The sequence below is a fragment of the Homo sapiens genome, chromosome 7, assembly GCF_000001405.40.
Source record: "Homo sapiens chromosome 7, GRCh38.p14 Primary Assembly".
Classification (NCBI taxonomy): Eukaryota; Metazoa; Chordata; class Mammalia; order Primates; family Hominidae; genus Homo; species Homo sapiens.
In genome coordinates this window covers 151,126,021-151,139,903 of record NC_000007.14, presented here as the reverse complement: position 1 = coordinate 151,139,903, position 13,883 = coordinate 151,126,021, and the positions used below count along the sequence as shown (strand labels likewise).

At 59.4% G+C, this 13,883-nt stretch overlaps 1 protein-coding gene across 14 annotated transcripts in view, besides 5 other annotated features; it reads right to left on the bottom strand.

The window, feature by feature from the left end:
- The window catches only part of AGAP3 (ArfGAP with GTPase domain, ankyrin repeat and PH domain 3), a 58,568-nt gene that overhangs the window by 4,531 nt on the left and 40,154 nt on the right, over positions 1–13,883 (bottom strand). For 6 of the 14 annotated variants that reach the window (XR_007059984.1, NM_001350103.2, NM_031946.7 and 3 more), the window contains 3 exons: positions 11,220–11,324; positions 5,336–5,504; positions 1,591–1,761 (listed from right to left, as the gene is read on the bottom strand). Coding sequence is in view for 13 of the 14 variants with exons in the window: in NM_001350103.2 (NP_001337032.1) it covers positions 1,591–1,761; positions 5,336–5,504; positions 11,220–11,324 (445 nt within the window). In the remaining variant the exon portion in view is untranslated. Of the gene's footprint in view, positions 1–1,590; positions 1,762–1,806; positions 2,175–5,335; positions 5,505–8,591; positions 9,701–11,219; positions 11,325–13,883 lie in introns of those variants that run through there. The other 8 variants (NM_001350104.2, NM_001281300.2, XM_047419870.1 and 5 more) reach the window with 3 other exon arrangements.
- Positions 95–1,067: an enhancer, noted in NCBI's record as "OCT4-NANOG-H3K4me1 hESC enhancer chr7:150835924-150836896 (GRCh37/hg19 assembly coordinates)". NCBI's record gives its function as "activates a minimal SCP1, AML or CMV promoter by ChIP-STARR-seq in naive H9 embryonic stem cells {active_cell/tissue: H9 hESC(naive)}" and the evidence as "EXISTENCE:reporter gene assay evidence [ECO:0000049][PMID:30033119]".
- Positions 1,068–2,041: an enhancer, noted in NCBI's record as "OCT4-NANOG-H3K4me1 hESC enhancer chr7:150834950-150835923 (GRCh37/hg19 assembly coordinates)". NCBI's record gives its function as "activates a minimal SCP1, AML or CMV promoter by ChIP-STARR-seq in primed H9 embryonic stem cells {active_cell/tissue: H9 hESC(primed)}" and the evidence as "EXISTENCE:reporter gene assay evidence [ECO:0000049][PMID:30033119]".
- Positions 3,015–3,989: an enhancer, noted in NCBI's record as "H3K4me1 hESC enhancer chr7:150833002-150833976 (GRCh37/hg19 assembly coordinates)". NCBI's record gives its function as "activates a minimal SCP1, AML or CMV promoter by ChIP-STARR-seq in naive H9 embryonic stem cells {active_cell/tissue: H9 hESC(naive)}" and the evidence as "EXISTENCE:reporter gene assay evidence [ECO:0000049][PMID:30033119]".
- Positions 7,049–7,548: an enhancer, noted in NCBI's record as "H3K4me1 hESC enhancer chr7:150829443-150829942 (GRCh37/hg19 assembly coordinates)". NCBI's record gives its function as "activates a minimal SCP1, AML or CMV promoter by ChIP-STARR-seq in primed H9 embryonic stem cells {active_cell/tissue: H9 hESC(primed)}" and the evidence as "EXISTENCE:reporter gene assay evidence [ECO:0000049][PMID:30033119]".
- Positions 7,549–8,050: an enhancer, noted in NCBI's record as "H3K4me1 hESC enhancer chr7:150828941-150829442 (GRCh37/hg19 assembly coordinates)". NCBI's record gives its function as "activates a minimal SCP1, AML or CMV promoter by ChIP-STARR-seq in primed H9 embryonic stem cells {active_cell/tissue: H9 hESC(primed)}" and the evidence as "EXISTENCE:reporter gene assay evidence [ECO:0000049][PMID:30033119]".

Here is a 13,883-nt window from a genome sequence, read left to right as displayed (position 1 = left end):
GGAGAGGACCAGTCCTGCCAACTGTAGCTGGGCCACACTCAGGAGAGCCAGACGGACACCTCTCTCTAGGCGAGGTCTGCCTGGGCTTCCCAGTCCCAAAGCTCCCCAGCCTTGGAGGAGGAAAATGTGGAAAGAGAATAGGAAACTTAGGCAGAGCAGGATGGAGGCAAAGGGAGGAAGCTGCCTCTGCAGCCTGGAGGGGTGGAAGGCAGCCCAGGGAACTCACGGGGAGCTGAAGCCCCAGCAGCTCCGCACCAAATTTATCCTCAATCACACTCCCCGCTCCTCACAATTAATAGCAGAATTAGAAACAATCAGGGAGCTGCCTAATTACTGTCAATTAGAGCGCGCTAATCAAGCTCCGTCTCCCACACCCCGCCCGGCGCTCACCACTAAATGTCAAACTTCATTAGAGGCAGACACGCTCCCTCCCTTCCTGCCTTCCTCCTTCCAGACTCAACAGAGGGCCCTCACGCAGGCCAGCACAGGCCACCGGACCGGTGACCCAAGGGAAGGGCCCCTGGCTCCCCTTCTCATGCGCTCCAAGCTCACTTCTCCCAGGGGTGGGCTGGGCATGGATTGGGAGGTGGGGCAGATCCCCGTGCTGGCACCGCCCAGCTCCTCCCTCAGCCCGTGCTCCTGAGGCCATGGCAGCTCAGAGGCTGGGCCTCAGGGCTCCTACTGGGAGGGCTCAGGGAAGGCCTTTGGGAAGCCAATCAGCTGGGAGAGCACCCATGGCTGGGGTGACAGTGGGGCACCCTGGGTCTTCCTGTCATTACACCATCACTCAGGACAAGGGCATGGAAAGCGCAAGGGACAGGAGAGGAGAGCTGGCTCCATGCCCTTTTGAGCCTTCAGAACTTCAGATCTGTGGTCAATGATGAAAGTAACAAGTAGGGTCAAAAGAAGAAAAGCAGAGAGAGAAAGAGAACAAAGGGGCAAACGGAAGAGCCCTGGAAGCAGGTGGAAGGGGCAGACGGGAGAGGCGGTGGAGTCACCAACCCACCTAGGATGGGTGGAGGCCTATCTGAGGGGGACAGCACAGGTGGAAAACGACCTTTCAGGACAACTCCACAGGGACCCCCCAGTTCCACAGTAGCGGGCGAGATGCTGCTGCCTTCGGAACGTGGCTCACATGGCTTAGAGCGCCCAGCCTCCGTCCGACCTCCCTACTCAGCCGCTTCCCCGTCCCCCTGCCGAGAGGCTGATGAGCTAACTGCGCGGGGGGCTGATGGGGATGCGGGAGCCACCACCAGCGCCGCCTGGGGACAAAGGGGAGGAGGAGCTGCAGAGGGTGGGCCTCTAGCGCCGGCCCCAGGCAGGGCTGCAGGCAGATGGGGGCTCTGGGGAAAAGGGCTGCACATGGAGGCTGGAGAAGGGACAGTGCCCCTACTCTGCTTCCAAGACAACGTCAGTACTAGCCCCGAAGCAGGGTCTCTCTGACAAGCCCAGGAGGGCCCAGCTGGGCCCCACCCCTTGGCCTGGACACTGTCCCACTGCAGCCTCCCAAGCCAAGAATGCTGCCCAGTTCCCCTCCTCTCTGTCACTGGGGCCCCAGAAAAGGTGGGAAGCAGCAGAGCCACCACTCACCAGGGTGCTGCATGCCTGGGGGCAGGGAAGTGGTGGCCTCACTCCACTGGTCGGCGCTGGAAACGGAGCAGGAGCGCTGGTGCAGCCCCTCAGGGCGCGGGCCAGCCCAGGCCGAGCTGCTGAGGGGGCGCTCAGAGTGCAGGGATGCGCTGCTGGCCGAGTGGGGGGCACCTGGGGGCGGGAAGGGTCAGACTGGGAAGGGAGGCCGGGCAGGGGAGGATTCTCAAAGATACTATCCTAAAAATAGAGCTGCAGAGCAGAGCCTGAGACATTCAGCAGGGCACTGGGTTCATCAGGTGGCGGGCCAGCTTCTGGGAGAGCCAGAGGCTGCGCAGGGACCCTGTGTGCCTTAGGAAGCAGCCTGTCCCCAGATCTTCACGGTCCACAGCTCTGTCCCCTCACTGTGGTCCGGGAGCGGGGCGGGGGGTCTCTGCATCAGAGATCTTCCAACTTGTGGAACGAGCTGGGTGGTGCTGACACCCATCGCCGCAGTGCTCCTTGAGGGGCCCCTCCTGGCTTGGGCCCCTGCACCCTCCATTCTAGTCCACATATGCCATTTGCTTCGCCTCAGCTTTACTGCCATTCTGACGAGAAATAAGTGTATCAAATTCAAGTAATTATGTCTAATTAGTATTAGTAATTATCCTGTTGGGCTGGAGAAAATTAATCTTTCGTTTCCCATCAGGGAAGAATGGCAGAGCCAGGGGGAACCGAAGGCTCTAGGAAAGCCAAGGCTGGGGCAGGCGCGGCGGCCGGCAGTGGAGGGAGGACAGAGCGCCGCACAATTCTCCCACCTCACTCCCTGGCTGAGCCCCTGCTGGAGAGATTCTGGGAACAGCCGTGGGGCCTCAGAGGCCTGTGGTACAAGGCCTGAGTTGGAACTCCGAGAACCTAAGCTTCCTTCCCCTTCTTCAGTCCACCCAACACTGAGACCACAAAGAAATGGCCCCAGGCGGTCTAAGAACACGGGGGCCGAACCTGAGGTGCTTCAACCTTGAAGCGGAGGAGCCCGCCAGGTGCTGGAGGTTAGTGGGAAAGCAGAGAAGGGGCCCGGAGCTGGCCAAAGCTGGAGACAGCAGGCAGAGGCCCAGCCAGGGGAAGGGCAGGCGCCAGGTCTCACACCAGCCCTGCAGGCGGCGGGACTGAGGGGAAGCCTGCGGGGAGACGGCACCAGGCTGCAGCAGCTGGAAGGTAAAGGAATGGCCCAAGGGGCCACAGCTCTGCTGCTGGGAGACGCCCAAAGGCAGGGAGCAAGTTTTATGTTCCTCTTGTATCTGTCACAACACCCCAAAGAGGACCAGACACATAGTAAGTGCTTAGTCACATACGTGCAGCACAGAGGCTACAGGCCGGTCTCCATCTCCAGGCCCCGAAGAAACATGTAGAGGCTGCCTCTTCAGAATCCCACCCACCTCCCGTCCTCTGCCCTCACAGGTCCCGCCTCAGGAAACCTTCCGGGGTGCACACTTGGTCCCTCATTTCTCAGATACCTTGCTTCTCCTCACCCCTGCTTTCATTCCCTTCCAGGTTCCAAATCTTATTCCCCCTCATCCCTAGCCCCATCCAAAGACATCACAGGCCCAACTTCCTCCCCAAGCCCCCGACCCAAAATCCTGAGGGAGGGAAAGTGCTTTCCCTTTTCTTTGTTAATTCTCCCCTCATTACGCCTGCAATCCCACAATCAGTGTGCACTGTAATTGTCGAATTTGATGCTAATGATTAATGAATTAAACATGGAGCCATCAATTAGTCCTCGGAGGATAATTCTGCATAAAGCAGCGGATAATGTAATTACAGTAACAAAGATAATGAGATGTTAACATCGCCCGGTGAGTGAGAGACATGTGTGAGTGTGCACGAGGGTCGGTGTCGGCGTCGGCATGCGGCAGCGGGACGCGGGCTGGGTGGGCACCGTCCGCGAGCTCCTGCGTGTGGGCGCTGTCATTACAGGAGCGAGGGCACGGGGCTGTCTCCTCCATGCCACTGCCGCTCCCAGGTGAGGGATGTCAGGGACAGGAACGGGACAGGACAGCGTCTTCTCGTTTCCCTTGCTCTAGGGAAACAGCCCAGCTGTCCTCTGGCTCCCTGCTGTCAAGGAAAGGGACTCACTTGGGCCTGCTCCTCATTTTTGGAATGATAAGAGAAACCCCAAGCTGACCAAAGGGGCTCCTGGGGGCCGGTGCCAGAGGGCTCCCCGCAGCTCTGACCCGCTCTCCGGGCAGAGCACTGAAGACTGCATGTGACCTGCCATCAGGCCAGTACAACCCCACGGCAGGCTCAAGGTCCCCCACTGGCACAGCCCCATGATGGGTGGTGGCCGGCCTTCTCCTTCTTAGCTTCCTTCCTTCCCTCCATCCACCTCACAGGCTTCCTTTCTGAGCTCAGGGTGGCTTAGAGGAAAGAAGATTGCTCTTCAAGTCAGACACAGTTAGGTTGAACCCTAGGTCTCCCACTTACTGTGGAATTTACAGACAAGTTTGTTAGCTATGCCAAGCCTCTGTTTCCTCATTAAAATGGGGACAATAATCTCTACTTCACAGCTGCTGAGGACCTGGGACCTGATGCAGAGACATCCACTGCATAGGGTACATCTCAGTTGTGTCAGGCCCCTCCCCCTGGCCACTCCCCTGCCTTCGGGCTGGTCCACGGTGTTTCTGCGAGAGTGGGCCCAGCACACCTGGTTCAGGTGCCTTGCCTCCAACAAGGACCACACCTGGAGGCATCATTGCGCCTTCCTTCCCTCTAACCTGGGCTTTCTCAGCGGAGTCCCATCAGCCTTGTGAGTGGGACAATTCTTTATTGTTTGGGGTCTCTCCCATCCATTCCAGGGGACTGGATGTCGTATCCCCAACCACCTGTCCACTAAGTCTGTCACATCCTCCCCTCACTGTGACAAGCACAGGCCCTCTAGGGAGGTGACTCACCCAGCTGCAGACCTGTGCTGCCAAGCGCTGACTGCTGGGACAGGGCACAGGAATGGCACCAGCAGGGCAGCTGTTACTGGGCCCAGGGAACATGAGATCCAATGGTCTAGGACAACACTGGGGATACTGAAGTCTTGGGGGAAAGCAATCGGGAGCCAGGGGCTCTGGAAGCGAGGGAAACGGGTGTGGAAGGACGGACCCTGGAAGAGCATGGGGCCTGGGGGCCCAAAGGAGGAGGAATGAAGCGGCACTAGGGAGTTGCTGGGGACAGGAGGCCTTTCACCTGAGCCAGCACTGTCAGTTGAAAAGGCAAGAACGCAACAGCTCTTCACTGGAGTTTCTTGCCTCCAGATCCTGTCTAAATTCAGTCCTCTCTGAGCAGAGACCCGCCTCTCACTCAGGCCTGAGAATATGCACCAGGTTGACCTCAGACAGCTCCGTCCCCTTCCACCTCCCCTATCTCCATATGCCAACCTTGGCTGAGATGCCGGCCATGCACCCAGAGGCATGGCCCCCACCCATCGCCTGCCTCGGATCCAGATGCAGAGATGGGCCTAGGACCACCAGCACCACTGCCCAAACATGACACTACTTGGCCCCATCTGACATCCAGATCAACTGCTCGTCTAGGCATTTGCTGTCACCTCAACTAACTCCACGAGGGCTGCGTTAGGGCACATGTCTTTGGCTGAGATGACCTTGAAGTGTGATGCTGGCCAGCACCCTGTGCCCAGGCTGAGAAGCAGCCAAGCCCAGAATGCCTGCTTGCCTTGGCTCCAAGGCAGCCACCCCCCAGGCCCCCACCTCAGCAGCCGCCTCACCTGTGCCCCCACCCAGCTGTGTGTTACTCCGCTCCACGGACAGCCCGTTGGCACGGGGGCTGGTGCCCGGGGCTGTGGCAGGTGTGGCTCGGGGCAGGCGCTTCCCTGGCACTTTCACCGTTGTCCGCAGCAGGTCAATCTCCTTGCCGTGGATGTTCTGCATGTAATCCTGCAGGCCGGGTGGGAGAGACAGATGAAGACTGGTTAGCAGCAGTCACTCCAGCGTTGAGCCTTGCAACTCCTAGGTCTCTCCCTGCTGTGGGAGGAGAGGGAAGGCTCCAATCTTGAAAAGCAGGATTCTAAGCCACAGAATGTCTCCGAGTCTGGATTCCACCTCGATCTCCACGGTGCTCAAAGCAGCTCTAGGGGGAGTCTGCCAGGAGGGAGGTAGAGTTGGGGGCGGCGAAGGACCTGGAGCTAAGCGCTGAGGCTCAGGCCCTCAGGAACAACGGCTTCAGAGGCAACAGCACAAAGCAGGCCAAGTGCTGGGCCAGGCTGGGATTTAGGGAGAGCCCCTGGCTGAGGAGGGGAGCGGAGACACTCGGGGACATGGATGACAGGGTGGCCACCAAGCACTGCAGCCCCCACCTGGGCATTAAGAACCTTCTAAAGCCTAGAATAGTCCCAGCCCTTAGGACAGTGTCTGATAATAAACACTTGTCAAACAGTTTAAAAGGAAGCCTCTGATTCTTTTTGCTGGACTTTGGAATACAGCAACAGGTGCTCTCACAGGTACCACCAATTCCCTGGCGGCAGTCATCGTCATCGCCGTCATGTCATCTGCCTGTCGCGTGCAGGGTATTTACCATCCTACAGCAGTGTATTTATACATTCCACGTATAGCCTCGCGTAATCTTCACCACCTGAGGGAGGTAGTGCCTGTTTTGTAGATGAAGCAACTGAGGCTTAGAAAGGCTTATCTGCCCAGGAACACACGATTAAATGGTAGCAGAGTCAGATTCAAGCCAAGGTTTTTCAGATTCCCAAGCCTGTGCCCTGTGTGCAGGCTTCCTCCAGCCTGTCCTGGGCCCGGGACTCACCCTGCTTTCAAGTCAGGGCCCCGGAGATGGGGGGCCACTTTGTGCTTGGACTCCCCCCATCATTTAGGGAGCACCACGGCCGAGTGCAGGGAGGGAGGGTGGGAGCCTGCCGCTTCCTGGCCTGGAGCCCCGCTGGGCCTCCTGCTTCCAGCCTCTCCTCCAGAGGCTTCCCTTTAAACTGTTTGACAAGTGTTTAGTATCAGACACTGCCCTAAGGGCTGTCCCAGCCTGTTGCCTCCTGCTTCCCTGTCCCTGTCACTGTCCCTGAGCTCCACGGCAATTCCTAGCCAATGCCCTTGGTAAAGTGGCACAAATTCCTCTCCATGGGTCTATGCCCCTTCCTGAGAGAAGAACCTGGGTGGTGGTGCCAGATTTAACTTCTGACTGAATTACATTGATTGGACATAAAGCCGCTCCTCCTTTCCCCTCTGTGAGCACCTCTGGAATATCTGCATCCTAAGGGCGGCCGTGCGACGAGCCTTCCCAGACGCGCTCCTCCTACCCTGAGGAGCCCGGCCTTCACCTTTACCGCACTGGCCATCAGACTGCTTTCCCGCCAGGCTGGCTCTATCTTCTCACCCCGTTAGCTCCAGGGAAAACTGACACTGTCCTCTGCTGAAAAGAGCCCAGGGGGCCTGCTGCCTCTTGGGAAGCAGTGGAAGGGCAGGAAGTCTCACCAGGGCTCCCTCTGGCAGGAATAATGAAGACATCAGGTAGACAAGGAGTCACCTGGTCCCAGGTCACTAAGAGAAGGTGAGGAGGTTACCAGCTAGACGGAGGAAAGAGGCGCCAAACACCAGCCTCCGCCTGCACTTCTGTGGCTGGGCTGGACGTCACCCACAGCTCCGTGCCATCAGGGGAATGGTGGAAAGGCCTGGCATCAGCACGCGGCCTCCCTGCCCAGGTCCAGCCCTGTGGGTCTCGCCGAGCCTGCAGTCGCCTTCATTCTCAAGGTGGCTATGGCATCTTCCCAGGCAGACAGCCCTTCAGGAAGAGGACCAGGGGACTAACCAACCAGAGCAGAGGAGCCACATTTAGAAGGTGTGTTCAGGAAGGAGCCCACACTCCCTGCCACTGCTGCTCCTGGCAGCCCTGGGCTTACCTATGCCCTCCTGCCACCCCAGTCCTCTGTGAGGGACAGTACCAAGTGCCTGGCCTGAGCACACATGTGCTAAAGTCTTGTTCATTGTCCCAGAACCACAGAACGACATAACCGAGGAATCAGTGAGCAGCCTCCCACCCAGGCAGGACCTCTTTGACAACCGCTCGGCCCACACTTGGCGGAGAAGGACTCTGCCCACAGCTTGGGGCCTTGCCAAGGTGGCTGGGAAGGAAGCAGACCCAGGAGCCCCTCCTGCCATCCCAGCGTACCTCCATCCATCCTTCTCCAGCACCCTGGGCTGCAGGCCACTGGCCCCGCCGGCCCTCTGTCTTGCTTTCAGCCCAGTGTCCACTCAATGACTTCACTGCCTCACCCCCTCTCCACTTGCATCCCACAGACTCAGCTGCCCGTCCCTGGTCCCCGTCGGCAGTCCCTGTACACAATCACATCTTAGATCGGCTACTACAGACAGCAGTCAACAGCTGGCTGGGCCAAAGGCACAGCTGCAGTCCCTCCTTAGGGGAGGGGCTTGGGCTGCTCTAGTTCACAAGGAGGTCACAGCAGCTGCAACAGTTTCCAGGCCCCACGACAGCCCTGGGATGCCCAGGCTGGGACATGGCAGGAAAAGCTGACCCCATGCCAAGAAGAAGAGTTGCAGGGGGGACTCTGTTCAGAGCTAAGGTGCCAGAAACTGGCCTCGGGGGAAAGGACGGCCCAACTTCAGCATCTCTGACGGCACCAGCCAGACACTCTACATTCCCAGGGCAGGCCGGCACCCACAGCCCCGGATTCCACGCCCTCGTGCCCGGGCAACCCTGGAGCCTGGGCCCAGAGGACAGTGGAGAGAAGCTTGAGGAGCATCAGCAGGGATGGGAACCTCAGACAGGCAGCAGCGTTTCCCTCCGTCAGCAGAACGGGGAGCATGGTGGCGGTGGCGGCTGCTCAGGAGAGCGGTCACCACGGCTGCCTTTATTACCCACCATCAAACAGCAATTTCTTCCCCAGCCTCCTCGCTAATTACCCAGCCAGCGTTCTCATCTCGTTTTATTACTGGAATTAACAACGAGTTCAGAGCGTGGAAAGCTATTAAGATGTGTGATTAAGCCACATTCAATTAGTTTCTACAAACAATTTAATTGATGTTGCAGATAGAATTAACAGAAGGTGATTGTGTGAATGGCTCCGCTGGCTGCAAAATGGGGGAGGCTGCGGCGGGCTCTCTTGGGCCGGCGAGAATCGGGCGCGGGGCTCAGGGCTGGCCCACGAACTCATCTTCTGTGTGTCCTGTCTCCCCGGCCCCCATCCATAGGTGAGTCACCAGTCCCGATGCCCTTGGGGCTCAGGCGAGACCCTTGCTGGAGAGGAGAGCCAGGCTCAGCCCAGAGTTCTGTCGGAGCCTCTGGAGTTGCCGGAGCTCCTTCCTCGACATGCTTCCTGCCAGGGTTTAGGGTTTGAAGAGCCCCAGAGAGAAGCGGCTGCTCACAGGTAGGGAGGTGGCCTGCTCATTGCTGGCAACTGAAGAGCATGCTCAGGCTGGAAGGTGGCGGCCAGGGGAGATGAAGGAGGTGAGGTGGCAGCCCCGGAGGGAGGGAAAGTGTGGCGGGGGTGGTGGCGGCGTGACATAAAGTGAAGCGGGCTCTGCCAGAGCTCCACGGAGAGCTGTGAGCGCACGGAGCCACAACCGGCCCTGCCTCCACTCGTGCTTTTGCACCGTGTGTAGCCCAGTATGCTTCGGGGCCTGTGACAGGATCTGGATGCCAGGACTTCCAGGCCTGGCCTTGCAGGGTGAATTCTAAGACTCGCACAGTGCAACAAGTGCGGCATGGAGGGGCACTCCTGGGGGCTCAGACACCCACCCTAGCCCCAGGCAGGCAAGCCCAACTCCCTCCTTACTTGACAACACTCACCCTGCTATTAACTCTTACATGACTCTCTCAGCCAGCCCCAGAGGGAGGTGCTCTTGGCAAGTGCAGAAAAATCTGGGTAATGCTCAGAGCCAAAGTCATGGGTCCAAGTCTTAGCTCAGCCACCAGCCGGGTGACTCTGAAAAGCCACCAACCCCCCTGAGCTCTGCTCTCCAGCTGGCTGTGTTTCCTCTACTGAAACCAAAACCCAGCCCAACCCCACAACCCACACTTTCTTCCACATCCAAGACACCCCTTGCCACTCCTCTTCATCCTCGCTGCCTCCACTGTTGGCAGAGGGCACAGACAGCGCACCAAGCTAGGGTCACATAAAACAGAAAGGAGCAGGTAAGAACTGGGCAAAGGGGGAAGGGGAAGGGCAGCTCCACACAGGTGGGGAAATGGACATTTCAAACAGGCCCATTCCCAAGCTCCGCCACCGAGGTGGGCAGCTGGACATGAGCAGAGGGCACGGCTAAGCTGCCTGGTGTCGGCCGTGAAACACCTCAGGCTGGGACTTAGAAGACGCTGGTGCAGTCTCCTGGCCTCAGCACTCCTACCTGGGACTTCCTGTCTGTGAGTGGCCCTGAAAGCCTTGGAGCCTTTCAACAGGGAAATACTGGGGCTCCCCTTGTCTTCCGGCCCTTCCTTTAGTGTAGGGCTGTGTACACAGTAACAAAGCCTGGTACCCGCAGAGCGCCCTTTGGCCTCCTACGATACTTTCTGCCTCTGTGGTAGGCGCTCTTCCCAGCAGGCCTGGCTGCCTCTCATTGCCTCGCAAGGACTCGCGAGTGGGACAAGGTCTGTGCCCGCGGTGGGGAGGTGGGGGGGTCGGGCGGGAGCTCAGGAGCTGGCTGCACTGAATGTGGGTGCTCCCTCCTCCAGTCTCCCAGGTACCAGGCCCTGCCCTGTGGAGTGAGGCGTGTTAGGAAGGGCGAGCGGCTGACTGGCATTGTCCCCTGAGCTGAGGGGGAGGACCATTGCCTGAGGATGGTCAGATACCCAGAAGCCCAGGAGGGCCAGGCCTTCTCTGCGAGTTTTCTCCGCAGGGCTGTCTGGGCGGTGCTCTCGGGCCTGGGTGATGGCCAGGACACAGGGACCCTGCACCTCTTGGGTCAGGCCTTCCTGACACCTTGGGCGGATTCAGAGGCAGGCCCAGAGCTTCTGGGCCGGGGCGGGGCAGTGGGGGGCACGCGCTGTGCTGGAGGGGCTTCACAGGAGAACTCATTAGCCCCACAGTGGGGTGGTGACAGAGATGAATTCCGGTGACAGCTGTGTGCTGGAGCCACGCGGTGAGGGGAGGGGAGGAAAGAAGGGTGGGGGAGCTGCACAGGGGCCACTCCAGTCACCACAACACCCCCCAGCTGGGACACAGGCCACGTGGCCACCAGACCCTCCTAACCACAGACAAGGCCACCCTCGCTCTCCTCCCAGGAGGACTGTCCGAGGCTCTAGCCCATTCTCAACAGCCCTGGTCCTCCACCATCCCAGGCCCAGAAGCCCACAGCTCCCCACTGGCACTGCCCAGCTCAACACAACTGCTGGGCAACATCGGCATCCCTGACCAGAAATTCTGTGGAAGTGGCTGAATCCCCCACCTTAAACAACTGGAAAGTCGGATATACAGCTTGACCGCCCAGAGGGCAAGGGAGGGGCCAGCCGGGTCTTGTGCATGTCCCAAGCTGCCAGTGTGAGGTTCCTTCTCCAGGGATGAGCCATTTGAAATCACTAAGGTCTGCTTCCCGTCCATCCTGGAGCCTGTCTGCTACCCGCATTCTGTTATCCTCCCTCCACCCCCTCCCCATACTCCCCCAGGAGGCTCCTCCTCCCAGACTCACATGCAGGCTGGGGTGATAGGTGAGCAGCCCGTTGTCACAGAGCGTCACATACTTCTTCTTCCACTCCTTGTTCAGGGACTTGCCGCTCCGCTTTAGCAGGATCCCCTGAGAACAGAGGTCTGATCAGAAACCAGGAGCCAGCCCCCTAGGTCATAGGGCATGAGGAGGTCACGATGTCGTCAGGCAATGCCCTCCCCCCTCCCCGCTTCTCCTGGGCCACTTTGAGCAAAGCAGCCTTTAAGGACCTATCGGTGAACTTGGGAAGGCCCCTTAGACCAGTCCTTCCCCAGAACTCGGCTCTCCCCCATCATCCATCAGGAAGCAGCTGGACCGCTGTTCCGGCAGGTGGGCGTCTTCCCTCCCCAGTGTGTGGAGCCACCTCGACAGGAGAAGCCTGTCAGGGGTGTAGACCGTCGGGTGTAGATGATCGGAGGTGTAGACAGTCAGGGGTATAGACGGCCAGGAGTAGACGCTCAGGGGTGTAGATAGTGGCCATCAGTGATGCTCCTCCCCAGGAGGCTCCAAGGGTCAAAACAGCAGAGATTTTGCTAAGTTCCTGGCCTTCCACCCCCTGTGGTAGCTCCATAAGAGGGCAGAAAATCCCCTAATTGTCCCAAGCATCCCCCAGACCACCAAGCCAGGCAGCAGGAAGACCCAGCCTTCCCTCCCAGCAACCACACTTCCCGCGTAAGCCAGTGAGACTCGCTGAACGCAGAGGCTGGATGGCTAGAAGAATGAGCGAAAGTGCCACAACAAGGAGCCTGCCCCGGGGACAGGGCCTGGGCCACAGCTGACACCCAGTAAACATATGTTGGAAGAACTGGGGAAAAGCCCCCTAAAACCCTGGCTGTCAGATGACGAATGCAGGAGGTAGACCCCACTAGGAAGATAGAAGGAGACGATGCTCAACCACAGCTGTGGCCTCCTTCCCAGGAGAAACCTACTCCTCTAGTGAGAACCCTCTAAAGATGCTCTCACTGGCTCAGCTTCTCTCCCTTAAACAACACACACAAGGCAACAGCTGGGAATGGGAGGCGGGGGTCATTCAGGACCAGGGAGCGCCACGATGGAGACCAGGGGCAGATCCAGGACCAGCATCACCATCCATGGCCCCCCATCCTCCAAAATCCCCAACTCAAGAGGGCTGAGAAGAGGCAGTGCTCCCTGGAGACTTCAAGGCAAAAATAGCATAGGGGGAAGAGGGGCACAGGTAGATCCACAAACTGGGGGCTGAGTGTGGGGCTCACCCTCAGCTGGGAGAGCGGAAGGGGCAGCACCCCCAGCAGGGAGACTTGAAAAAGCGGACTCTGCCCATACTTAGAGGAGGGGGCGCCCAGAGAGGGAAGAGGCCCCGCGATGGCATCTCCTTTAGGAATGGAGGGCCCCGCCAGAAGACAGCCAACAACACAGGGACTAAGAGATGCAGGCACAAGGAAACGGCAGTCCCTAGTCTGCAGCTCGTGGTCCTGACGCCCAAGGGTGGGGGGTAAATACTGGATTCAACTGCACCTTCCTCCTCTAAGTTCTTCCTAATAGAAGGCTAACTCCTAGATGGATGCCATTAGGATAAGAGATTCCCGTTTCCTGGACCTCTCCCTCCCCAACAGGAGGTGAGGGGGAGGCCAGAAAGGGCACCCACTTCCAGCGGCCCCAGCAGCTGTGACATCAATTGCTGACTTTCCAGCACGTTTCACATTCTTGCTGCTCCTCCTCCGGCCACACCAGGGCCAAATGCCATTGCTGGAGGTGCGAGCATGCGGGCTGGGAGTTGAAGTACATGGCCATGTGCAGACACATCCTGCTACCTGGCCCCCTTGGCCTGGGAGACCCTATCCTCAAAAGGGGTTTCTGAAAACTAGCGGCACTAAGGGGACCTTCCACAAGGCAAGCGGGCCCTGCCTCTTGGTCTGCGAAGGAGTCTTCCAGGTAGGCTGGGCCTTGGTGACCTGCCTCTGGGTGTGGTATTCCTGTCACTGGCCAGGGGCCAGGTGCACTGAGAGCTCAGAAGCAGTCAGCTGTTCCCCCTCCCGCTGCGACCAGCCATGGGACTAGCGTGCTCGAAGGCTCTAAGTCCCTCAGGCTCTGGAGATGCCTTGGAGTCATCCCCAATACCCCCCGCCCCGCCCCCAGCACACAAACCAAAGAAATAACCAAGTGTGAGGGATGGACCCGGCTCCCCGCCCCCGTCCCGACTCCCCTCACCCCACTAGGCGTGCTTCCCTCTCCCAGCCTCTCCCAGCCTCTCCCAGCCTCTCCCAGCCTCTCCCAGCCTTCAGCAGGAGACTCCACGGCCGGCCCCGCCCCGCCCCGCTCCGCTCTGCTCTGCTCCGCTCTGCTCCCATCTCCAGCGGCCTGGAAGGTGGAGCCCCTCAAGGCCTGCACTGCGCGCGGTTTCTCCGACAGTCAGGGCGGGAAGGGGTCTCCGCACCTCCTTTCCGACCCAGACACGTGTGGCTCCTCCCTCCTCGCAGAGAATGTGATCGGGGAGGGGGTCCCTCCTCCACCCTGAACGCCCCCGTCCTCGGCAACGCCCTCCCCAGGCGGAGGCGAGGGAGCCGCTGTAATGACGCTCGTTAGCCGGGGGCGCGGGCGGAACGACCGGGCCGCTCAGCCCCGCCCCACCCCACCCACCCGCCCGCTCCCGGGAAGCGGACAGGAGGAAAC